The 25,369-nt window shown below is 40.2% G+C and overlaps 4 pseudogenes, besides 1 other annotated feature; 2 read left to right on the forward strand and 2 right to left on the reverse strand.

Moving 5' to 3' along the window:
* Window positions 217-410, reverse strand: BCYRN1P3 (brain cytoplasmic RNA 1, pseudogene 3; annotated as a pseudogene).
* Window positions 12,444-12,644: a silencer, noted in NCBI's record as "peak2059 fragment used in MPRA reporter construct". NCBI's record gives its function as "represses an SCP1 promoter by STARR-seq MPRAs in K562 erythroleukemia cells {active_cell/tissue: K562}" and the evidence as "EXISTENCE:reporter gene assay evidence [ECO:0000049][PMID:32103011]".
* On the reverse strand, window positions 14,028-15,396 carry GXYLT1P1 (GXYLT1 pseudogene 1; annotated as a pseudogene).
* Window positions 17,164-17,949, forward strand: CNN2P12 (calponin 2 pseudogene 12; annotated as a pseudogene).
* Window positions 24,227-24,936, forward strand: ZNF965P (zinc finger protein 965, pseudogene; annotated as a pseudogene).

Genomic DNA, 25,369 nt, shown 5'->3' on the forward strand with positions numbered 1-25,369 from the left:
CTGCCACCATGCCCGGCTAATTTTTTGTATTTTTAGTAGAGACGGGGTTTCACCATGTTAGCCAGGATGGTCTCGACCTCCTGACCTTGTGATCCACCCGCCTTGGCCTCCCAAAGTGCTGGGATTACTGGCATGAGCCACCGCACCCGGCCAGGGTGTTAATTATTAATATGTATTAATACATTGCATTACCCTTTCATTGGAGTGTTTAAAAGTGGCGGGGGGGAGTTGTTGCTTTAAGGGGAGTTATGCTTATTTTTTTTTTTTTGTATTTTTTTTTTTCCTTTTTCTGGAGAACGAGGTCTCCCTATATTGCCCAGGCAGGTCTCGAACTCCTGGGCTCAAGCTATCCTCCCGCCTCTTGCCTCCCTGAGAGCTGGGATTACAGGCGTGAGCCACCGCGCCTGGCCAGGCTTTTGGATCTAGTCAAGTTTTATGAATTGTTGTCCATTTGAATAAGCATGGCATTTTTCAATAAATCATTGCAGCCTGGATGAGTTTGCCCCATGCACCCTCCAGTCAATTGTCCAGGAAAGAGAAATGCCTGAGTGGAGATATAATGTTTTTCTTCATTTCAAATATATTCCATTTAATTTTTCTAAAAACAGCACTCAAGTTTTGCTGGAAGTTCTGCCTGAGCTCAGCCCATCCATGTGGATTAAACAAGTTGATTCTTCCTCTGTCCTCAGTGGTGGGCATTTGACCCAGAACTAGCCAATTAGCATGCAGCATTCCACTGGTTCAGTGATGGGCATGTGACCCAATCAGAACCAATCAGAACTAATCCCAAGACCTCCCCCTGAGCTTGTTCCTCATCTGAGAGACAGAGAGAGAGATGGAGAGAGAGGGAGAGAGAGAGAGAGAGAGAGTGTGTGTGTGTGTGTGTGTGTGTGTGTGTGTGTGTGTGTGTGTGTGTGTTTGTGTGAAGGGATGTTGGCGGAGGGGGACACGTTTTATGTGGGCCCATGTTAGAAAGATTGGGAGGGAAGAAAATAATGAGCATGATCCTTTCCTTAAAATCATGAAGAATGGGTGTTTTAAAGAGACAAATATGCAGATCAAGGCCTGTGTTCTTTCTCCTCGCCAAACTGGCTTCAGACCTGTGTGGAATTTAGGCAATGGTGCCCTTCCAATGGCAACAACAGGAAATTTAGTGTTAGCAGGTGCACTTCCCTTCATTGATAAAAATCCTATGGAATTAGGTAATTCAAAATTACCTTGAGATGTAACTTTGAATTTAGAAAGATAGAATTGAAAGAAAAAGTGATGGATAATTTCTGGTGAAATGAATGGGCCTATGAAATATGTATTTCTCTTCCCATCTTGCATCAACTCATTTGGTATTTCAGTTTGTGTAATAGTTAAAACTCCTGGCAGAGCAGAGGCAGTAATTGCAAACAGCTGTAAAGTATTACTCATCTTGCTGATCAAAATGACTTCCCACTAAATAAACCATGAAAAAAGCTTTTCCAACCACAGAGAAGTGAAGTGTAAATGATATACAGACTACCATGAAGAGATCAACAGATTGCATTTTCCTATAACTATGGTTTTCTATAGCTACAGTTACTTTCAAAAATGGCTTATAAACTCAGCTAGTTCAGGAAAAAGAACTTGGATAATAACATTAAGATGGCAGTGGGGATCCTGGGAAGTGTTTGAAGTTACAAAGCTTTTGGAGAGCCATCTTGGTTCCCTTCTTAGGCTTTCCAATGGATGAAAACAACTTGCAATGTGGTCTTATTCTTGCTTATTTTGGATATCACTCCAGGTCTCTTGCCCTTCGTATCTGAGAACCATTAGCTGGACATCCATGTCTTGGTCTTTCTATCATGGTTTTGAAGGGTGATGGACCCATGGTGGTGGCAGCGTCAATATGTTGATGCTACTGCCATGGGCATCTGACTGTGAGCTTCAGGTCCTGATAAAAGAATAGTCCAGTGCTGGAGTCACAGAGCTGACCTCTGATGTCACTCCAGCTACTTGCCCACACTACATTGCCAGCTCCTTGTGATTCTTCTAAACTAGGAAATTCACTGGACAGTATTCACCAAAAACCAATAAAAATTTCTCTTCACACTCAGACATAAATCTCTCTCCTCTACCTATCTCCTTTCCCTAAATCAAGACTCATCTATAAATTGATACTAAGCCTATCATTTCAGTCTTACTGCTTTTTTCATTTTTAGTTGAAATGTAATTGTACATATTTATGGGATACAGAGTGACATTTCAATATATGTGTACAATATATGTATTTCTATATATGTAATGATCAAATCAGGGGAACTAACGTATCCATCACATCAAACACTTATCATTTCTTTGTGTTGTAAACATTCAAAATACTCTTTCTTAGCTTTTTCAAAATATCCAATAAATTACTGCTAACCATATTTACCCTACAGTGCTGTAGACACTAGAACTCATTCCTCCTATCTAGCTGTAAGTTCGTATTTGTTAACCAACCTCTCCCTGTCCTCTCCTCCCTGTTGCTTGCCCCAGCCTGTAATAACCAGAATTCTACTCTCCACTTCCATGAGCTCAGTTTGTTTTTTTTTAGCTCCCACATATGAGTGAGAACGTGCAAGATTTACAATTCTGTACCTAGCTTATTTCACTTAACATAGTCTTCCAGGCTCACCCATGTTTCAGCCAAGGACAGGATTTCATTATTTTTATGGCTAAATAGTACTCCACTGTGAATATATACTACATTTTAAATCTATTTATCTGTTTTTGGACATTTAGGGTGATTCTAATCTTGGCTACCATGAATAGTGCTGCTATAAACATGAGGGTGCTCGTATCTCCTAAATATGCTGATTTCCTTTCCTGTAGATAAATGCCCCATAGTGGGAGTGCTGGAAAAAAAAATTCTTTTTCTTTAAACCTGATCATGTCTGTCCTCATAAATGCATGTTAAACCCATCTCTCACCATCAATGCCACCCCACCCCGAGCAGTTGTTCACTCTTCTCTTCCCTCGTTCTCTGCACACCGTGTGCTTCCATACCCCAGCCTCAGGCCTTTCTATACCATTTCCTATTTGGGGCACACAGTTTTTATTCAACTTGCGTGCTGTCCTTTGAGAATCTACAATGTGGTTTGGATATGGCACTTTTTATCAGGATGTCACATCAGAGTTGATAAATTCAAAGTAATATCATTCTTTTTCCTGCCAAAGTCAGCTCCTCCTTTCCACTGCACTTTCCTGCCAGTGCCACCACTTTCTCCTGTTGTGTAGGGAGAACACAGGTCACCTCCCTAGCATGAAAAGGTGCTCAATAAAGATTTGTTGAATATATGAATGAATGTTCTTAGAAGACACCCTTGTACCTGGACTGGTCATTACATAGGTGTAAGCTTTATTCTCTAAAAGGGGTGAGAGTTTATGCTAAGATTGTAAGCAACCCTCAGGGCAGACTCTGGATGCATATTACAGAACTGCTGAACTTGTGGAATGTGCATATTTATACTGAAAATATTTAATGCCATATGTGTAAGACTTTTGCCAACTGGAATCTGAACATCAACAGCTTTGAAGGGCTTATTCTACCTTCTCAGCACAAAAATACTTTTTATGAATGCACATATTTATGTGCAAAAGTATAGAAAATGGACTTTAAAATATACAACAAATTCATTTTAGCAATTGGCCCTGGGGACCTAGAAGGAGAATGAGATTGGGGTGATAGGGGTGGAATATTAGCTAATAATGCTTTATGTTATTGAAAATAATTACTGAAAACCAATACAATAAAATATTAACATGTTAATTGAGTATAGTGCTTACATTATTCTTTACATGTTTTAATATCTTTACAATTCCTTTTTTTGCTTTTGTTAAGGAAGTCACAGTTTAATTGGCAGCATATCTATAACGGTACATGAAATAATGTCTGATTTCTAAACATTGACATCCTACATTAGATGAAATACATTAACCATTAAGCTTTGATATTACACTATAAAATTAATTGAAGAAAGCCACCCCTTTTTCTTTCTTTTTTTTATGGTTATTATGTGGCCCATATGATGTGCAGGAGTTTTTTTTCTAGGCTTTGATTGTTTTAAATAAAATCAGAATTTGTTAAAGTTCAGTTAACACTCAGCTGTGAACCCTAAGCTACTGGGGTCTTTTTCAATGGGGGATCTTTAAGCATTATTCCAAACTATTCTATGCTAATTGATCTATTGATAATTTATAATTTATTATTAAATACATTCAATTTCTTAAAAAGAAAAAGCAAAGAAACAAAGGGAAACATGTATTACAATTTAAATAAAGGAATTAGCAGTTGAAAACAAGAAAACCTATTCTGAGCATCCATACTTCTTGGCAACCAAAACAATCAATGAAATCAATGCATTGGGTTAAAGAGTTCCCAATTTTCCACTATGTTACCTGGAGGAAAAAAAACCTGTATCATAGGGTTAAACTTTGGGAAGGATTTTCCATAAGAATCTTAATATAAAGGTTCTTGAATGACATAATGTACAAGGTCTTTGATAGCAATGCGACCCACAGTGCAAAGATGTTTTACTAGTCCTGTTGGTGTCTCAAATTGGCTCTCAGTAAGTAATCTGGACATACTGTGAAATTATAATTCTGTGTAGACAATTCAACTTAAAGGGTTAGAGTGATGCAATCCAAATAGATGGCTTTCTTCTGATCTGGCTTAACAGAAATCTTGAAAAATCTGGGAGTAAATGTTTAATATATCCTCAGTTCTCGACCACTCTTCTTCCCTGATAGACAACATCACAGGCAGGACATCCTCCCAAGGGTACACACAATATTATGTACAGTTCCCACACAAGAAAGCACATCATAATCTTAGTGAGAATGATGTTCTCATAAGGTCAGTTATACTCAGTGTGCATAGTTGTCCAAGTGTGAGTATGAAACCAAGTTATTCGCAAGTACCACTACTCTGATTATTAGTAATAACAATCCACTTGTGACATAGCTTTTCTTTGCTGAAACAAAATATTGTTTTGACATCATGGTCAAAACATTGGTCTTAGGCCAATGCTCTCTATTATCTATTGTTGTTGCCAAGCCTTTGAGAAGTGTTTTATGTGGGGCAAAAGGTCCCTTCCTGTCTCTTTGGTCAAAGCAAAGGAGGAGTACAGATGACTGAGAGAGTGATCACGCTGCTGTGCCCACCTATGAGGTAGACCTTGTTCCTGGATTGGGAGATGTTTTATGCTGAGGGTGCAGTAGAAAGAGCACACAGCTAGCAGTAAAGAGAGGTGGCCCTGACTGCAGCTCTGCCTCTGACTTCCTGAGTAACCTCAGACTAGTCATGCAGTGCCTGCTCCCACATTTCTTTTTGTAAGCTGCAAGGATTGAATCAGACAATAGCCTCTAAGTTTCTTCTGAACTCTCATACTCAGGGATGCCAATGATGTTGGCAGGATGAGCTACATAGATTGTAGGGCCCAGTGAAAAATGAAAGTACAGGGCTCCTTGTTCAAAAATTAAGCATTTCAAGATGCAACAGCAGAGCATTGTAAACCATGTGCACAACGCTTCTGAGACCAGGGCTCTCTGCAACTGCCCAGTTATAGCCCTTGAAGATAGGATGGTGTCAGCTTCCCGTTACGAAGCTGATTTATCACTCAGGGCTCAGAAGTTGGATCTTCCAGGCTGAAAGTGGGAGGAGAACACATGTTGTGCTAGTCACAGCCAGAGATAACACAAAGACGGCCTAACAAGGGCCCAGGCACAACACACATTGTTATAAAGAAGAGAAGAGGGTCACCTAGTGACTCAACACAAAAATGATCCTCTGTCTACATCTCCTCTCCAGGTTTCAGTCATGGTAAGGACTGTCCCAGGTTTCAGAGCCTTCAAAGAAGATCTTAACTCTGAAACCGGTGCAAAGTCTGGGGATAGCAGGTTGTGTACCACCTCACTCTCCTGTCTCTTTCTCTCTGAATAAACATCTTTTATCAGGAAGCCCAGCAGAACACAGTCAAGAAGCTGATAGGTGACTGCTATTCCCCTCTCGCTGAAAACGCAGCCACTTGGAGTCAGCTTGATGGCAGTGGTGGCTCAGGCCTTGAACACGTGAGAATAGACTATGTTGTCAAGATGCTGATGAACCGCACTTCTGCCTGACTTGATGCATTGTCTCAGGTCTCAGCACTCAAAATGGATGCTCATAATCCTACACACAATCCCCAAATGTCAATGAGGATCATTGGCCAACCATACCTCAGTGCATGGGGGGTAGTAAGGTTATCCATTAAGGCCCCACCTTCCACCTCACAAATACTTCTGATCAGAGGGATGAGCTTGGGTAATTTTGGGATGCATGACAGGATGGTGTCAGCAGACTGGCCAAATCCACATTCAGTATTTCCCATCATGAGGTCTTTGGTGTCAGGTGACATTAAAGAATGAGAGTGGTGAAGAAACACCTCTGGTGAACCACTTTCCAAAAGGCTGAGAATGCAGCTTTCAAATCACTTCCATTACTTGGCATAAAGAAACTGGAAAGCTAAGTGAAAGAGAGAACACAGGGCTGAAGGTCAGAGGACCTGAGATCCTGCTCTCAATTCCTGCTTACAGACTGAATGACCAAAGGTAAGTCATTTGCCCTCCTGTATTTCTGCTTTCCTATTGCAAAATGGCAATAAACTACTTCCTTCATGGGGACCCTATGACCAGAAAATGAGGCAACCTATAAAACACACATTTAAATATAAAATCACTGCTGGGCATGGTGGCTCACGCCTGTAATCCCAGCACTTTAGGAGGCTGAGGCGAGTGGATCACCTGAGGTCAAGAATTTGAGACCTGCCTGGCCAACATGATGAAACCCCGTCTCTACTAATAACACAAAAAATTAGCTGGGCATGGTGGTGGATGCCTGTAATCCCAGGTACTCAGGAGGCTGAGGCAGGAGAATCACTTGAACCTGGGAGGCAGAGGTTGCAGTGAGCCAAGATCCTGCCACTCCACTCCAGCCTGGGTGACAGAGCAAGATTCCATCTCAAAATAAATAAATAAAAATAAAATCACTCTGCAACTAGTGGGTACAACTTGAGTTTCTTTTTTTTTTTTTTTTCTCTGTCTGTTGCCCAGGCCATCATGCACACTGGTGCAATCTCGGCTCACTGCAACCTCCACCTCCCAGGTTCAAGTGATTCTCCTGCCTCAGCCTCCTGAGTAGATAGGATTACAGGGGCCCACCACCACGCCTGGCTAATTTTTGTATTTGTTGTAGAGACAGGGTTTCACCATGTTGGCCAGGCTGATCTTGAATTCCTGACCTCAAGTGTTCCGCCCACCTCAGCTTCCCAAAGGGCTGGGATTACAGGCGTGAGCCACCATACCCGGCCCAACCTGAGTTTCTTAAAACCTCATAAGCTTCATGGATTCAACAAAATAAGTCATGATTATGATAATAATTTTTAGAGGTTCCCGTAAGGTAGAAACTGCTGTTATTTCAACTTCCCAAAATGCCTTGTGGGGCTCTAAGGCTATCTGTAGAATCTAGAAAGAGACATATATTCAAATTAGCTATGTCACATCAAAATTTGGAGAAGAAGTAAAAATAAAGAAATTTAAGAGATTTACTCCACCAATCTCTTGGTAATTTTTGTGTTCATTATCAATAAGCTGTGTGCATCCTTTTAGAGTGCTACTGTTTGAGAAAAGCAACATTGAAGTTGCTGCTGATCTTGGTCATGCATTTTCAGAGCGTGCTTATCAGCAGACTTGGATGCTGTTGGGGTTCTCTTTCTCATTTGCAATTTTTCCAAGACAGGCTTTCTGTTGCCCAGGCTGGAGTGTGTAGCTGCTGTTTCTCAATAGACAAGTCCTAGAAGTAGAAATAATTCAATTTTCATTCACTCTTAGCTCTTCTGCCACTGGTGTTCCTCTTTGACCCTGACAGGGCTGCACCTGTCTTCCAGGCCTGATGTAGCACTTGTATGGTTTGCCACTTGCCAGAAGATCCACAAGACATTCTAAAAGCCTTTTGCCCAGTAGAGACCACTCCAGTGAGCACAAATTGTCTAATGGGTTTTTTAGGTGGTCTTCCTCCTTAGCTCGTTTTTCTCCCAGAACAAAGATATCAAGGTGTTGATTTAGCGGCAGCTCCGGAAGGACAATCCAGCTTGGTTGAAATCTTTTCATTATAATAGAAAATATAATAGCAACAGTAGCATCCCCTGTTACACTGAAATTAAATGACTACTCTTTCACTGTTGGGGTGGCAAGTATAATTTCTATCACTTCTTTGGAAAGCAATACAACTTAACTAAAGATCACCAAAATGTTTATACTTTTTGGAACCAAAAACCTCACTGAAAATAATTATTCCAAGAGTATACTTCAACAGAAAAAAAAAACAAGTAATATACATGTGCATGTTTCTCCCTGTGAAAACAACAACACAGAATTTATTAAACAAGTTTTGAAACACTTGGCTATGTGGTAACATGGAACAATGTTCTCCTATAACATTAAAGGATAAAAGCTTAGAGAATAGAATATATTCTATGACTGCAACTATGAAATAAAACATAGATCTACATAGGGACAAAGGTGATAAACATGCAAAAACAGGTGTTTGGTTCATGGATTATGTGTATTTTTCCTGCATTCAAATTTATCTTTATTGTTGCTTTTTTATGTTCCCCCCTCCTCCCCCCAAAAAATCCTAAAGATCTTGAATATGCCCCTATCAGTATTTAACATTTCATCTGAAACTGGGTCTAGATGACTCAATCTGCTCCAGTTTTTTGAACAAGATAAATAGCAAGGTTATTCTTTCCATTGTTTTTTTTTCTTTCCTTAACAGCCAGACACAGGTCTTTAATTACACAGCTGGCTTCTTTGTTTGGGATACGTTACTTTCAATCATTTTCCTGATCCTCTGCATGATTTACAGAAGCTGAGTGGGAGGCTTTAGCATTTCCATGGTCCTCCTTCTCCACTACCATGAGATTCTTATGTGAATTTTTTTTAGAGCCATTATTCTCCATTTACAAAGGCAGAATGCAGTGGCAGGAGCTGGGACTCTGGGAAACCAACGGCCAAGAATTCAAACTACAGCATACTATGAAATACTCAGATAAGATGTCCCCATCATATTCTATCACTGGGCAAAGTAAAATGTAAACCACTTACTCAAAACAGAAAATATTGTGGGTGACAGTGACACTGGTATTCAGAAAGATGAAGAAATGCAATTAAGAAACCAGGCAAAGAAGTAAACATGCCATGTAGCTTACGAAAGACCAGCCACATTGTGTGTATTTTAATATTATTTAATGGTAACACCTAATAGAGCATCATGATTGTGTGAACTAAATTTTCAGTCATAATGAATGCTACAAACTTCACCTCCCAAGTTTAAATACGCTACAACGTCTTGGGAAAAATGCAAGAAGAATTATTTGATAAATGTTTTTCTTCCAGCCTATCTTGATCAACAGCCAGCAGCAACACATTGCAGATATAATCTCAAGACCTTGTGGCATGCATTTGTCACTACATGCGTAACTTACTATGGACAGAGGATCACAGAAATTTTGAATATAATTTCCCACAAGACAGGAGATTAAATAGACCACACTGGAAGAAGGCAAGAAGCAGCTAGGTCTCTGGAGTACCAAAAAGTAAACTTCAGCCAGTTCTGGAAGCAGAAAACTAGCAGGAAATATACTTTCAGATGGGCTACTTTCTCAATAGTTCTTGCTTGCAAGAGCTCTAGGGAAAGTATGAGTTACTGGGTAACAATGTAATAGAAAAGGGGCCAGCCTTGGGAAAAATTGCAGTGGAAGAATACCAGTGTCTCCTCATTTACATCTTTCTTTCTCCTCTTCCTTTGTAATGCTACCTTTCTTGGGGTATTCTTTCCCCTAGAATACCCTGCCTGTCACCCCACAAGAACCTGCTCTTGAGACTGCATTTCTAATACCTATAATGAGATGTTATGTCAATGCCTTATCTCTCAGTGTGTGTATAGACACATTAAGCTTTCTCTCTATGCTGTGTTTTCTCATGCAGGAATATCAGACATTAATGAACCAGTAAAGAGGATGCTGGGGTGCAGAAGAGCTTTCCCAGTGTCCCATGAGCCATTCTACACAGCATCCTACAGCATGACTATGGATCTGCTGTGCTTAGTTTCTTTACTTGTGAAAACAGAGTAATAGTAGCACCTACCTCACAGGATTGTTCTGAAGATTAGAGGGGCTTTTTCATGGAAAGCTCTAGAGCAGTGCTGGAGACATGGTAAGTGCTCAACATGTGTTCATTATTATTATCTTTATCAATATTTGATGCAAAAGCCTTTCTGAAAGAAATCACACAAGAACATGATCAGTTAAAAAATACATATGAATGAAAGTATGTTTGGTGCTGTCACAACACAGAGTGGCATAATGGTTAGGAACATAGAGTTTGGAAGTCAACCATCTGTGCTCAAAGCCTAGTGTCACCACATGGCCATTGTGGGACACTGGGCCTCAGATTTCTGTGGGGAAAAGAAAGAGAGATCAGATTGTTACTGTGTCTGTGTAGAAAGAAGTAGACATAGGAGAATCCATTTTGTTCTGTACTAAGAAAAACTCTTCTGCCTTGAGATGCTGTTAATCTGTAACCTTACCCCAACCCCATGCTCTCTGAAACATGTGCTGTCAACTCAGGGTTAAATGGATTAAGGGCGGTGCAAGATGTGCTTTGTTAAACAGATGCTTGAAGGCAGCATGCTCCTTAAGAGTCATCACCACTCCCTAATCTCAAGTACCCAGGGACACAAACACTGCGGAAGGCCACAGGGACCTCTGCCTAGGAAAGCCAGGTATTGTCCAAGGTTTCTCCCATGTGATAGTCTGAAATATGGCCTCGTGGGAAGGGAAAGACCCGACTGTCCCCCAGCCCGACACCCATAAAGGGTGCCTCTTTGCAGTTGAGACAAGAGGAAGGCATCTGTCTCCTGCCCGTCCCTGGGCAATGGAATATCTTGGTATAAAACCTGATTGTATGTTCCATCTACTGAGATAGGGGAAAACCGCCTTAGGGCTGGAGGTGGGACATGCGGGCAACAATACTGCTCTGTAAGGCATTGAGATGTTTATGTGTATGCATATCTAAAGCACAGCACTTAATTCTTTACCTTTTCTATGATGCAGAGACCTTTGTTCACGTGTTTATCTGCTGACCTTCTCTCCACTATTATCCTGTGACCCTGCCACAACCCCCTCTCTGAGAAACACCCAAGAATGATCAATAAATACTAAGAGAGCTCAGAGGCTGGCAGGATCCTCCCTATGCTGAACGCTGGTCCCCTGGGCCCCCTTATTTCTTTCTCTATACATTGTGTCTTTTTCTTTTCCAAGTCTCTCATTCCACCTAACAAGAAACACCCACAGGTGTGGAGGGGCAACCCACCCCTTCAGATTTCTAGCCTGAAAAATGGAGGAACAATGTCTGTCATATAAAGTTGCTGTAAAGATAAAACCAGCTAAGAAATGTAAAATACTCAACAGTGCCTGACACAAAATAAACACCCAATTAATGGTAGCAGCAAGAAAAGAGCTCTCTTCAACCAACATCTTACCTTCAGAAATTGGTTAAGAAGAAATGAGTGCTTGGGAACCTTCCTGTTAGAGCTGGGAACACAAATAACCCCAAGATATGACCCAACTGGGAAATGAAGCACCAGAGTCAGCAGGTCTCAGGACTCGAGAACATGTCATAGATCTGGGGCCAAAGGGACTTCCCAATACCCCAGTCCTGAATTAGCCAGATGTGCCTTTCAGTCCTTGGCTGAGCTGGACTGAGGCCTCCTCCAAAGGGAGAAATAAATGTGCATCCTGAAGAGAGCTGACTCTGAAAGACAGAGAAACCCACAGAGGCTGAGTTTCACCAGCACTACTTCCAAGCACATTTCTCAGGTAAGTCATTTCTCTTCCCAAGGGGAGGATTGAATGAGTTTATGGTGAGAGGCTGAAAGCTTTTCTCCTTTATTTTCCCTCATGGGAGAGGAGTGGAAGTGCTATGTTCTCTGTGGGAACCTGCAGACTATGGATGTTTCCTCCAACAGTTGGCATTGACTGATTTATCTGCATGTCTCTCTATCCACATCTTCCATATGAAGAATCTAAGTGGGAATAGCCTCCAAAGTAATCTGATAGTACCAAAGCACTATTTTAGTTTTGTATAATTTTTAAGTCTCTTCTTTAAATTTTTTTTGGCAGACTCCATCCCAGACACAGCATACCAGAGTCTCCAAAGGGCTAAGCTCAGGAATCTATTCTGAAGCTCCCAACAGGAGTCTTATATAGCCAGGCAGGCAATGATCATATTTGGGGACCATTAGAAATAACCTAATGCATATCCTCTGAACTTCAAATTTTTAGTATTCTCGTTTTCTGCTCAGTAAGCTCAATTTCAATGCAGTTCACAGTTTCTCATATCCACCATGGCATTCTGCCAAGGAACTACAACTTGTATTCTCTAAACCCATCTGTTCTAAGAATGCTGGGCTGCTTATCAACTTCTAATGTACCTTGCTTAAACTTTCCTCTCTCGATGTGTCCCTGACTGAACTTCAGAAGACAGAACAACTGTACTAACCATCTCTTTCTGAATATCCCATGTCTCCACAGAGGCCACGGTGTCTTCACAAAGCTAACTGCCATGATTTTCGCAGGTGATATTGTCCCTTCATGATTTTCCATTTTCTACTTGAGCATTAAAATATCAGGAAGAAAAAGAAGATAACCATATAGCAGTTGGTAAAATAAGATATCTGCCCCAGCACAGTCCATACTAAGTATTCAGAATTTACAGTTATATTAGATAACTTTAAATTAGATAACTATTAACATAGTTATATTAGATAAGTAATATTTTTCTCATCTTCAAGAACTAAAAAATTAACTGTTTTAAGTGATATTTGAAAAAGGAAGATACATCAACCCAATTAAAACCACATTTTCTATAGCTGGATGTAACAATCTTAATCCAAATCATTCACCAAAGTTGTTTAACTTTCTTTTTTTTTTATTATACTTTAACTTTTAGGGTACATGTGCACAATGTGCAGGTTTGTTACATATATATACATGTGCCATGCTGGTGTGCTGCACCCATTAACTCGTCATTTACATTAGGTATATCTCCTAATGCTAACCCTCCCCCCTCACCCCACCCCACAACAGTCCCCAGAGTCTGATGTTCCCCTTCCTGTGTCCATGTGTTCTCATTGTTCAATTCCCATCTATGAGTGAGAACATGCAGTGTTTGGTTTTTTGTCCTTGCGATAGTTTACTGAGAATGATGATTTCCAATTTCATCCATGTCCCTACAAAGGACATGAACTCATCATTTTTTATGGCTGCATAGTATTCCATGGTGTATTTGTGCCACATTTTCTTAATCCAGTCTATCATTGTTGGACATTTGGGTTGGTTCCAAGTCTTTGCTATTGTGAATAGTGCCGCAATAAACATACGTGTGCATGTGTCTTTATAGCAGCATGATTTATAGTCCTTTGGGTATATACCCAGTAATGGGATGGCTGTGTCAAATGGTATTTCTAGTTCTAGATCCCTGAGGAATCGCCACACTGACTTCCACAATGGTTGAACTAGTTTACAGTCCTACCAACAGTGTAAAAGTGTTCCTATTTCTCCACATCCTCTCCAGCACCTGTTGTTTCCTGACTTTTTAATGATTGCCATTCTAACTGGTGTGAGATGGTATCTCATTGTGGTTTTGATTTGCATTTCTCTGATGGCCAGTGATGGTGAGCATTTTTTCATGTGTTTTTTGGCTGCATAAATGTCTTCTTTTAAGACGTGTCTGTTCATATCCTTTGCCCACTTTTTGATGGGGTTGTTTGTTTTTTTCTTGTAAATTTGTTTGAGTTCATTAACTGTCTTAAAGTAAGGCTCTAGACATTTGCTTCTTTACAAGTATCTTGCAAAGCCATTATGAGGTAGAAGAAAAGTTTAAATGCACCACATTTTTCTACTCCATCGTAACTAAAATTACTACTCACAGGATGTGTATAGCTTCTGAATTTTGGTCCATCACATTTTCCACCATCAAATGAGTATACTCTTAAGGTTCTCACTTTATCATCAGCATAATATATTTTGCTTCCAGAATGCCCAGTAAAGCTGAAATTTTTCATTTAAAGTGATAAAAAAATTCCCCAAATATCTACTTAACAATCTTAGATCTGAGTTTTGGCAAGACAGTTTAATGCATACACAATGAAAACACTACATTTGTCACTCTCTCTCACACATGCACAGATTAAAACCCCAAAGTTTTCACTGTATTTCCTCTTTCTTATACAGCTCAATTTTTAACATGCAGCTTACTTATAATCTAAAAACAATTTTAAACATGATTGTGATAAAATATTTTAAAACAGAGATGAAATGTATAAAGGCAGACATAGATCATCCATGGTTACATCCGTTACATTTCTTTAGAAACAGAACTGTTTCTTCTCCTGTAAACAGACTTTTTTTTCACACATTTAAAGCGAGGTCAGTGCTGACTTTAAGAAAGTTAAAGTTTGCACTGTGCTTGAGATACATTTTCTTCATCTGCACAGCCCCAGCACTCTTACTTGAGAGTATGAGTCAGCAGAAGTTTGCGGGCTAAAACCATTCAATAATATTTTCACCAATACTGGAATGGTAGTAAGTAACATTACAAAACATCAGAGGCCAAAAATGTTTCTTTGTTGGAGCCCAAGATTTTAATTTATTCTTCATTACCTGAAAATACTGCTCATTTAACCTCTTTGGGAAAAAAATATTCTGGAGATGAATAATTCCTTCATTAATGCTTCACCCAAGATGATTCCTTCACACTTATCCTCCAATGCTTTGTTGTTTTCATCCATTTGATGTAGCAGGCACCAAGAATCACCTTTCCTTTGGTGATCCAGCATAATGATCTCTTATGCTTTTTGTTAGTTGTTTGACAAATATTTTGTAAATTTTTCCACGGTATGTATGCACTGCTTTTTGTAGTTCCAGTTCTAAAGGTTTTATTAGGGAATGAATGTTGTCATCTTAAAAGAACAATTTCTCAGTGCTTCATAAACAACTCTAAATGCTGGTTGCTTATCATCATGGTAAACACCTCTGTTCCCTGAAGAATCAAGATTCCTTCTTCTGCTTCTTGGCAACTGCTTCCATATAGACAATGATCTGGATGATAATTCCATTGACACGGAAAGGCAAAAAGACTTTCTGGATTATGAAAAAACATGATATCCAACAAATCTTGATTGCCCATGTAAATCTTGATTGTCCATGTAATGTTTAGTTTGTATTCTTTAAGCCATGTCATAAGTATATCTCCTCATTGTAGTCACACAGTTTGTCATATCATTCTTGAAATACTTCCTTCTCATTTGAGTCATATTCGTCAACATAACTCCAGGGTTTACTCCAGTTTTTCCACAGTATGGTTGCCTAGCAAAGCGACTATACCATCTTATTTGAGGTTCCTTGTGTTCTGAGGCCACTGGAGCAATTTATGTGGAATTAAATTTCTTTAGTAAAGAACAAATATGATCAACTGGTCGTAAAAAAGGCTATTAGTGTGGGAGTCAACTTCTTTCAGGAATAACGGCAAGAACAATCTCTGTGGACCACATGGTTTAAAGAGTTTTTCCATGCTGATGCATTCTCACTTGGAAAGGTTATGGGGTATATTGTATAATTAAATATTTGCAGAAATGACCCCTGTCACGTCTTCCTTTACAGCTATGATGTAGCTGATCTTCAGCAAAAACCTGGCATTGAAGAGCTTTGATCCTGAAAATGATAGCTGACTTCAACATGGTCATAGTTTCTTCCAGTCTTTCACCACAGGCAACTACAGCTAGATGCATTTTCTCAACAGGCTGTATTTTCAGACGACACCTGTCCCACCCACCAGGATGCACAGCGGGACCAGCGCTGCCCGCGCCTCTCACGGCACCGCATCCGCCTCCTGCCAGCCAGGAAGCCACTGAGGCCTGCTGCTTCCCGCCACCACCGCCTGCTGCTTCCTCCAGGGACATGGGGAGCTGGCTGAAGGCGTAAAGGAGCGAGCAGAAGCCGCAGGCCAGACACAGCGCCACCACGTGCGGGTAGCGCCGCATCGCCCCAGCCGTGTTCCTTGGTCTCCGTCTCCGCCGCGCCCGCCTGGTGAACTGGAGCACAGGGACCATAGTTCTGGAAATTTATCCTTTTTCTCTCCATGGATTCAGCAGCAGTGTCTAAAAGAAAAAAATTCATCAATCAATCATTTATGTATATTTTAATATAAAGATAAAACAACTGCGAACCAGTGGAACTGGATAGAAAGTAATTCAATTTTACAGAACACATCTGTTTTTCAGGCTCTTTTATTAAATATAAAAGAGCCATATATATTTCTGTGGAACTCCCCCTTTTACTTAAGAATTCATTATCAGCGAATTAGTTTAAGGAGGCTGTTTTGTTAGAGGCTGTGGTTGCATTCAAAAATTAGAATAGGAACAATGACTTGTAAAAATTCAACATTTTATTTTATTTTTGAGATGGAGTCTCGCTCTGTCGCCCAGGCTGTAGTGCAGTGGCGCGATCTCGGCTCACTGCAACCTCAGCCTCCCGGGTTTAAGGAATTCTCTGCTTCAGCCTCCTGAATAGCTGGGATTACAGGCGCATGCCACCAAGCCCAGCTAATTTTTTTGTAATTTTAGTAGAGACGAAGTTTCACCACCTTGGCCAGGCTGGTCTTGAGCTCCTGACCTCGTGATCAGCCCACCTCCGCCTTCAAAAGTGCTGGGATTATAGGCGTGAGCCGCCGCGCCCGGCCGGAAGTTCTTTCTTCTTAAAAGGATTATAAATGTAATTCCCACTGGCATGACACTTTTACTAATATAGGTTGACTTTTTGCTTCAAATAACCCATTCGTACATCTAAATTAATTTCGCTCAGTATGTGTGTGTGCATGTGTGTGTGTGGATGTGTGTGTGTGTGGATGTGTGGATGTAAATCACAGTAAAGGGTAAAGGGAAGGTGGAAAAAAGGGGGATGGTCTAACATTTTTCACACATTTTTTAAATACACAAAAGATATGTAGTAAAAACAATGGTGTGGTGAAAACAAAATCTTGCAAACTAGAAAAAAGACAGTCCCCGGTCCCGTGTGGTCCCGTCCCGCCGCGGGGCCAGCCAGCTGTAAGCTCCACGCAGTTCAACAAGGGCCCCTCCTACAGGCTCTTGGCGGACGTCCAGAACCGGCTCCTGTCCATATATGACTCGCAGAAGGAGGTAGAGCTCCGCAGCTGGATCTAGGGACTCACCGGCCTCTCCATCGGCCCAGTGAGTCCCGACTTCCAGAAGGGCCTGAAGGACGGGATTATCTTATGCACACTCATGAACAAACTGCAGCCGGGCTCAGTCCCCAAAATCAACCGCTTCAGCAGAACTGGTACCAGCTAGAAACCCTCTCCAACCTCCTCAAGTCCATGGTCAGCTACAGCATGAACCCCGTGGACCTATTTGAGACTAACGACCTGTTTTAGAGTGGGAACGTGAGGCAGGTGCAGGTGTCTCTTCTCGCCCTGGCAGGGAAGGCCAAGACTAAGGGGCTGCAGAGCGAGGTGGACATCCGTGAGGAGTACTCAGAGAAGCAGGAGGGGAACTTCGACGACGCCACCATGAAGGCTGGCCAGTGCGTCATCGGGCTGCAGATTACCAACAAACGCGCCAGCCAGTCAGGCACGACTGTGTACGGCAGAGCACGAGGAGGCATCTCTACGATCCCAAGAACAACATCCTGCCCCCCATGGACCACTCGACCATCAGCCTCCAGATGGGTACAAGCAAGTGCGCCAGCCAGGTGGGCATGGCGGCTCCCAGGACCCGGTGGCACATCTACGACACGAAGCTGGGAATCACAAGTATGACAACTCTTCAGATATATTCAGATATATTTTTTCTTGCCTTCTGGACTTTGGTCTTCTTATTCATATGCTTTTCCCACTACCATCCCAGATTTGTATAATTAGCTCTTACTTTTATTTTAGTTTGCTCTTCATCTTCCCCACCAAGGGAAGCCTTACCTGATATCCCTAAATATGAAAGGCTTTCATAGCAGTGCATAGCTTTTCTCTGTTACTTATAATATTGTTTTTAAATTTTTATATTTTTATTACTATTAATAATAAATCTGAGCATGCTCTTTGATAAGAAGTCTAATAAAGTTTTGATGCAATTTGTAATTCAGTACATAATTGTTTTCTATAAGCCATGATTCTAGAGATTGAGGGGAAAATGCAGCAGTAATCTCTCCCAAGTGGAAGGACAAATAGCCAAGCAATATTGACCTACCCATTCATCTCTCAAAAACAGGGTTAAGTAATATTGATTCTCCTGTTTTCAGGATGAAGAAGGGACAGGGAGTTTCTTGCTTGTTATTTTCTCAACTCACTCTTTTTATGGAAAAAGTAATTAATCTGATAAATGACACAGAAGATTTTGATGTTTATTAGCAAGGTGGTGATTCCAAGAAGTTGAATTAAAAAGGCTTCAGAGCCTGTCTCTCTCAATCACTATCTTTGGGCTCTTGAGGCTGCTTGTGCACAAAATAGGAAGCACTTGTGTAAGAGCTGCATAGGCAGGCTCAGTCCAGCTACTGGTTTCATAAATCCAACTTTTCCAAGCATGACAGAATGTCAGAATCCCATGAGCCAAAAGTTTTATGATGAGAGAGAAAGAATGATATTTTGCTCCCCAATCTAATTTTCAAATTAAATTTTAAACAAAGTTAATAAAGTTAAATAAATTTAACAAAGCTGAATATACACACACATGCATACACCCATGCACATGCACACAAGCTTCTTGCATTCATTTTTTTAATTGTTTAATCATTCATGAGAAACGGTTTGATTTTGTATTTTCTATCTACCAATACTTGCACAAGCTCTGGTTGCAAAACTTCTGTTGGTCAAACATTAGCATTTGGGGAACAGGTCCCTGCTGAGAGATAGATCTTGATACAGCCTTAACTACATCATCAGTAGACATGGGACTGTTTTTAACTAGAGGGAGGCAAATGGCTTTCAGATGGTTGTGTAGCTGGTTTTAACAGTAGCCTGCAGTGGCTTTTTGACAGACATGAACCTTACTAGTTATTATTAGGCTTCAGAGCATTAGTATGAGGTTTTAATTTGCTTATGTTAGGCATGAGAAGGTAGCACTATCCTAGATGCCCTAAAAATTGTTCCTTGTCACTTTTTTCCGACTGAATTCAGAGGTAATTTGGGGACTGTGTCTAAAATGGTCTTATATTCATGTGCCATAGGTTTCTGAAGCTTCCATTCTGAACATGGTCTCAAGTTGGCTCTTGAGGGCTAATTTCATTACACATGATCATAGGCATAAATTTAAATGTATGGGGGATTGTTTTGTACATCCCACAGAATCTGGATTTACTATGAAGAGACTGTAGAGTTTATCAAAAAGAAGATAAACAGGAATAAAAGTTCTTGCTGTCTAGGGAATATATCATCTTCTTTGGGTAATGCCTATTAATGCTCCTCAAAATAGCTAGAGCATTCAAGGTTTGTAACCAGTTCACAATGACAGAAGTAGCTTCTACTAGAAATTAAATATATTAGTTCTTTCATTGAGTAACTATTGCTACAAGAATATATTTGCTGAATGAACTAGCATGCTTATTGACATAATTGATTTGCATACCATGGCAACACTTCATGGACCAAACCCTAAGTCCCATGAAAAATTGAATAGAATTATTTGACAGTTAAGTATCATTGGAAAAGCCTGGCTCTAGCAATTGCTCCTGCCATACTGAGAAGACATCGGATGAACTTAAACATTTTTATTTTTGTTTAAAGCCATCAAAACACTATGGGCCTAAAGTTACAATGAACTAAATTTCAGAGAAAAATAAGCCTTTCCTAGGTGATCACAGATTAGCAGCAGAGCCCATCTCTGAGGACATTTGCTGGATGTGGGGCCTTGAGTAGGTAGAAGGACTAGCCTACAATGTAGAAACACCTGGAACATTGGGAATAAGCAAAATAATCTACAGGGAACTGCAATAAGGGCTGAAAACTAGAAAGATCATGTAGTCTCCTAGCTCTTACTTATTTTCACTTAAGAGACAGGGTCTCATTCTGTCACCCAGGCTATGGTGCAGTAGACTGATCATGGCTCACTGCAGCCTCAAACTCCTCCCTCAGGTGATCCTCCTGCCTCAGCCTCTCCAGTAGATAGAACTACAGGTGCACAGCATCATGCCTGGCTAATTTTTATTTTTTGTGTGTGGACACAAAAACCCACTACGTTGCCCAGGCTGGCCTAGAACTCTTGGCCTCAAGTGTTCTTCCTGCCTTGCCCCCCACCCTCAAGCACTGCTGTTACAGGTGTGAGTCACCACATCTGGCCTCCCCTAGCATTTAGATACTAAACTGTTGGAAAAATGAGTAAACAATAAATATAAGTAGCATTTTGAGTGAGTATTTTCTTCCCATACACCCATGGGATGGTTTCGTGTATCTTACTACTTCACATAGGAGACCATTCCTCCATCCAACTATGCAAACTAAGTCTTTAAAATTTGATTTTTGCCCTACAATAAGCTCTATGCTAAAGCTCATTACATGTGATTTTGACAATTTCTGTTTTTATACCACAATTGCAGAAAATTAATCATATTCTTTACTTCATGAGACATTATTATTATTGTTTCCTAAAAGTTTCTTTCTGGTTTTACTTATTCAATTTTTTTATTCTTTATCCCTTGTCACAGACAGGCATGCTAATGTGTTTGATATAAGTTATTTACTCTTAAAGAATTCTTACAAGATAAGAAGGTTGTTTTCTGAGTGTGTGTATGTGTATATACAAAAGTGTATACGTTTTTCTTAAAGAGTATCATGCTATAAATCTAATTTTATTTCTATTTTTTTCACAGAGCATCACATCCTCCATATATTCTCACACTGCTGTAGGTTATTTTTGGTTGTTTATTCCCCTGTAGCTGCTGCATAGTTTTGGACAAAATGAATCAACCGCATTTTCCCTATCCAGTCTTGCAGTAGAATTCACACTGATATCCTGCTACTGAAATATTCACTTCCTTGTGGTATTCTTATGAAAACACTTTTTGGTCACGTGTCACAATTTGTCAGGGTCTACATTAGTCTGTTACTATTGCTATGAAGACACACGCGATGCTGGGTAATTTATTTATTTATTTTTTAAAAAAGGAGGTTTATCTTGGTTCAGGGTTCTGCAGGCTGCACAGGAAGCAATGGCATCTGCTCTGGGTGAGGCCTCAAGAAGCTTACAATCATGGCAGAAGGTGAAGGGGAGCCAGTGTGTCACATGGTCAGAGAGGGAGTAAGAGAGAGAAGGGGGCAGTCCCAGGCTGTTTTTAACAATCAGATCTCTCATGACCTCACTGAGAAGAAGTCACTCACAAGGGGATGGTTCTAAACCAAGCTTGTCTAACCTGCAGCTTGCAGGCTGAATGCAGGTCAAACAGCTTCGAATGTGGCCCAAAACAAATTTGTCAACTTTGTTAAAACATAAGAGATTCCGTGTGTGTGTGTGTGTGTGTGTGTGTGTGTGTGTGTGTGCGCGTGTGTGTGTGTGTGTTTAGCTCAGCAGCTATTTTTAGTGTATTTTATGTGTGGCCCAAGAAAATTATTCTTCCAATGTGGTCCAGGGAAGCCAAAAGGTTGGACATTCCTGTGCTAAACTATTCATAAGGGATCCACCCCACGATCCAATACCTCTCACTGGGCCCCACCTCCAGAACATGGGGGATCACATTTCAGCATGAGATTTGGAGGGGACACACATACAAACTATATCAGGTATATGTGACCGTCATTGAGACAGGTTGTAGAGTATGCATACTTTCAAAGGGGTCCTGTCATGTTATTTTCTGAAATGTTTAAAACCATTGAATTTCCCATCCATTGCCCATAAAGGTTGTTATCCTCATATCCTCATCACACAACGTTATCTAGGATTCTTATATTTTCTAAGCGAGTGGTGAAAATACAGATCTCATTTTATTGTGCACATTTGCATCTGTCATGTTGTTAATAATGTATTGGAATTTTTTGGCCCATCTTTCTGTTGAGTTGACTATCTTCTTTGTTCATTTGAAAATCAATCATATTCACTGTGCCCTAAGCATTGTCAACACTTTCTACTACTCTGTCACATGTCTGATAACCTTGCATACCAGCCTTTATTGAAATGAATCTTTATGATTTTTATACTCCTTCCAGAGTTTATGTATTTAAGTAAATTTTTTGGTTTAGTAAATCCTTTATTAAATTGTAACAACAGGCCCAAATCTCTGTTTTATTGGGTTCATTCAGATTTAGAATTCAGAAAACTTTTTGGTGGATAAATTTTTTATCATAATAAAGAATGGCTATGATAATGCAATATGATTATTTCTGCTAATGCTTATTGTTTTATAGCCTACTTTGTTTATGTGGTCAGGAGGACAAGACCTGAATGGCCTTGACAAACTCAGCTTTCTGTACCTCCTGGTTCTCAGAATAATTTTAGAATGTTCCGAGAAGACAATATCCTGAGATAAGGAGAAATTGTCTGGGAATGTCTGGGCTCTGCCCTTGTTGTTCCTAGAACAGGATATTCCTGCAACTCTTAAACTCAGAGAGCCAAGTAGCACATGGGGTGTGAAACCTAGGGCGGAGCACTCAGGGGTTCCTCAGCTGCAGTACACAGTGGAGCATGTGCAGAGGAGACTCCATCAACCCTGGGCAACTTTTCTGACCTCAAGGGTCAGGCTTGCCATAGAACTTAGGCTTTTGCTGATTCTTCCTGCTCCTCTGTGAGTAATAAATTTGGTTTATCTGACTTACTGTGTGAGCATTCTTCTGTTTCTGGCAGCTTGGTTTATATAAAAAAACCTCTTGCTAGACCTATGAATCTATGCAATGTGGAAGTGTCATAGAGGTAAATAGGAAGCAACTTAACTGAGTTGAAAACTAACATACACAACATGGGGCCACTGCACCAAGGGGCAAAATGAGCCGGCCAAAAAGGCCACATGTGACAATGCCAGCCACACTGTGGAAGAAGAAGGATGCTGAAACTCAGAGAGATCTGAAGATCTTATCCAAGCCAACAGGAGGCAGGGAATTCCACTGTACTCTGATTCAAGAGTACAAGCTTCATCTCAGAGAAAAGCAATGCAATGGCCTCAGCGATCAGACCAGAGAGATCCTCTGCCACAGAGAAAGCAGAGATCCAGAGAACAGCATGAAGACAATAAGAGGCTTGAGACTCACTTTCACTTTGCCTTGAGGCCACAGAAAGCCCAAAGCATCTGAATATCTTCTTGGAGGCATTTTCCTAAAATAGAGCTATTGAAACTTGAAGAAAAATGTGAATCAAGAAGCTAAATTTAAAGATATGTTATTTTCTCCTGCCCTCCTCCACAAATTAACCACAGGATAAGTCTAGTGAGATAAAGCATATCATTTATACAAAATACAGAAGTTACTTATTCTTTATGTGAGCAGAAATATGTTCAAATTTACTCAATAAATGTATTTTGTTTTACTACTAGAAATAGTAATTTTCACTTGGTGATTACTTTATTTTATAATTATCTCTATTTAAATTTGTGTTGGCCCACTCCTGGGTATCTACCTAGAGGAAAATAAGTCATATGAAAAAGACATTTGTACACACATTTATAGCAGCACAATTTGCAGTTGCAAAAATGTGGAACCAGGTTAAATGTCTATCAGCCAATGAGTGGACAAAGAAAATGTGTTATAGATACACCATGGAATACTGCTCAGCCCTAAAAAGGAATGAAATAATGGCATTTGCAGCAATCTGGATGGAGTTAGAGATGATTATTCTAAGTGAAGTAACTCAGGAATAAAAAAACAAATATTGTATGCTCTCACTTATAAGTGGGAGATAAGCTATGAGGGTGTAAAGACATAAGAATGATATAAGGGACTCTGGGGACTCGGAGGGAAGGTTGGGGGATGAGGGATGAAAGACTACACGTTGGGTACAGTGTACACGACTCGAGTAGTGCATACACCAAAATCTCAGAAAATCACCACCAAATAACTTTTCCATGTAACCAGAAACCACTTGTTTCCCAAAAACTATTGAAATAAAGTGATATGTATGGAAACAATGAATATGATAGTCTTGAGGTGCAACACTCACTGGGTTTCATATGGGAGAAAAACAGCTAAAATCAAACACATGGATAGACAGTCAGAACAATGTCCATCATATACATAGTAAAATTAATACAACTGCAAACATGCATGAGTGGAGTCCATTTGGAATAGCCTGCAGTGAAGATGTATGCCTTAGGGCCCACATAACTCATGTTAGGGAGAAAATGTATAACTTTATTCGATATGAAAATGTCTTCAGAAATAACTCAGTCCATGCTGTGCAGATGCAGTCCTGTACTGTAGAGACAAAGAATAAGAATCATCAAAGTGGAAAAACCGCTGCCCCTCCTCCAAATTCTGGTTCACACAGCAGTAGTACTACTGGAGAGAAAAGCCATACATGTCCCAAATGTGGGAAAGCCTTTACTTATCAGTCATTTCTTGTAAGACATATGAAAATTCACACTAGAAAGAAATCTTATGAATATGTCAAAAGTGGCAAAGGCTTTAGATATTCCCTACACCTTAATAAACATTTAAGAAAGAACATTCTGGACAAGCCCTATGAATGTAAGGAATGTGGGAAAACCTTCAGCAAGCCTCAAAACATGCACATATAAGGAGTCATGCTGGAAAGAAACCCTATAAATGTGACAAATGTGGAAAAGACTTTGCAAAGACATCAGAATTAAAAGCCACCTTAAGAGATACAATAGTGAGAAGCCCTGTGAGTGAAAGGTGGAAAATCATCATTAATTTTTCACCATACTGAACATGTGAGGAGGACACACTGGAAGGGAGCTCAATGAGTTAACATGCATGAGAACATCTTTCCTGAACTCTCATATCTTACGGAAGTGTGAAAAGAAACCCTGTGAAGGTAAACTCTATGGAAAGCCTTTCATTCATCTTCATTCATCTTGAGTAGCTATTTGTTCTCACACTGGAGAGAAGCTATGAAAGTAAGGAACATGAAAAAAGCCTCAGTGTTGCCTCAGACTCATAGTTCATACAAGAACGCACACTGCAGAGACTGCTTATGGAAGTAAAAAATGTAGAAAAGACCTCTTTAAACACTTAACCCTCCTGTTACACATGATTCCGCACTCTGGAGGGAGACTACAATGGGAATAAATATAATAAAGCTTTCAGTTCCAGCTCTTCA

Source organism: Homo sapiens, chromosome 13 (genome assembly GCF_000001405.40).
Source record: "Homo sapiens chromosome 13, GRCh38.p14 Primary Assembly".
Taxonomy (NCBI): domain Eukaryota; kingdom Metazoa; phylum Chordata; class Mammalia; order Primates; family Hominidae; genus Homo; species Homo sapiens.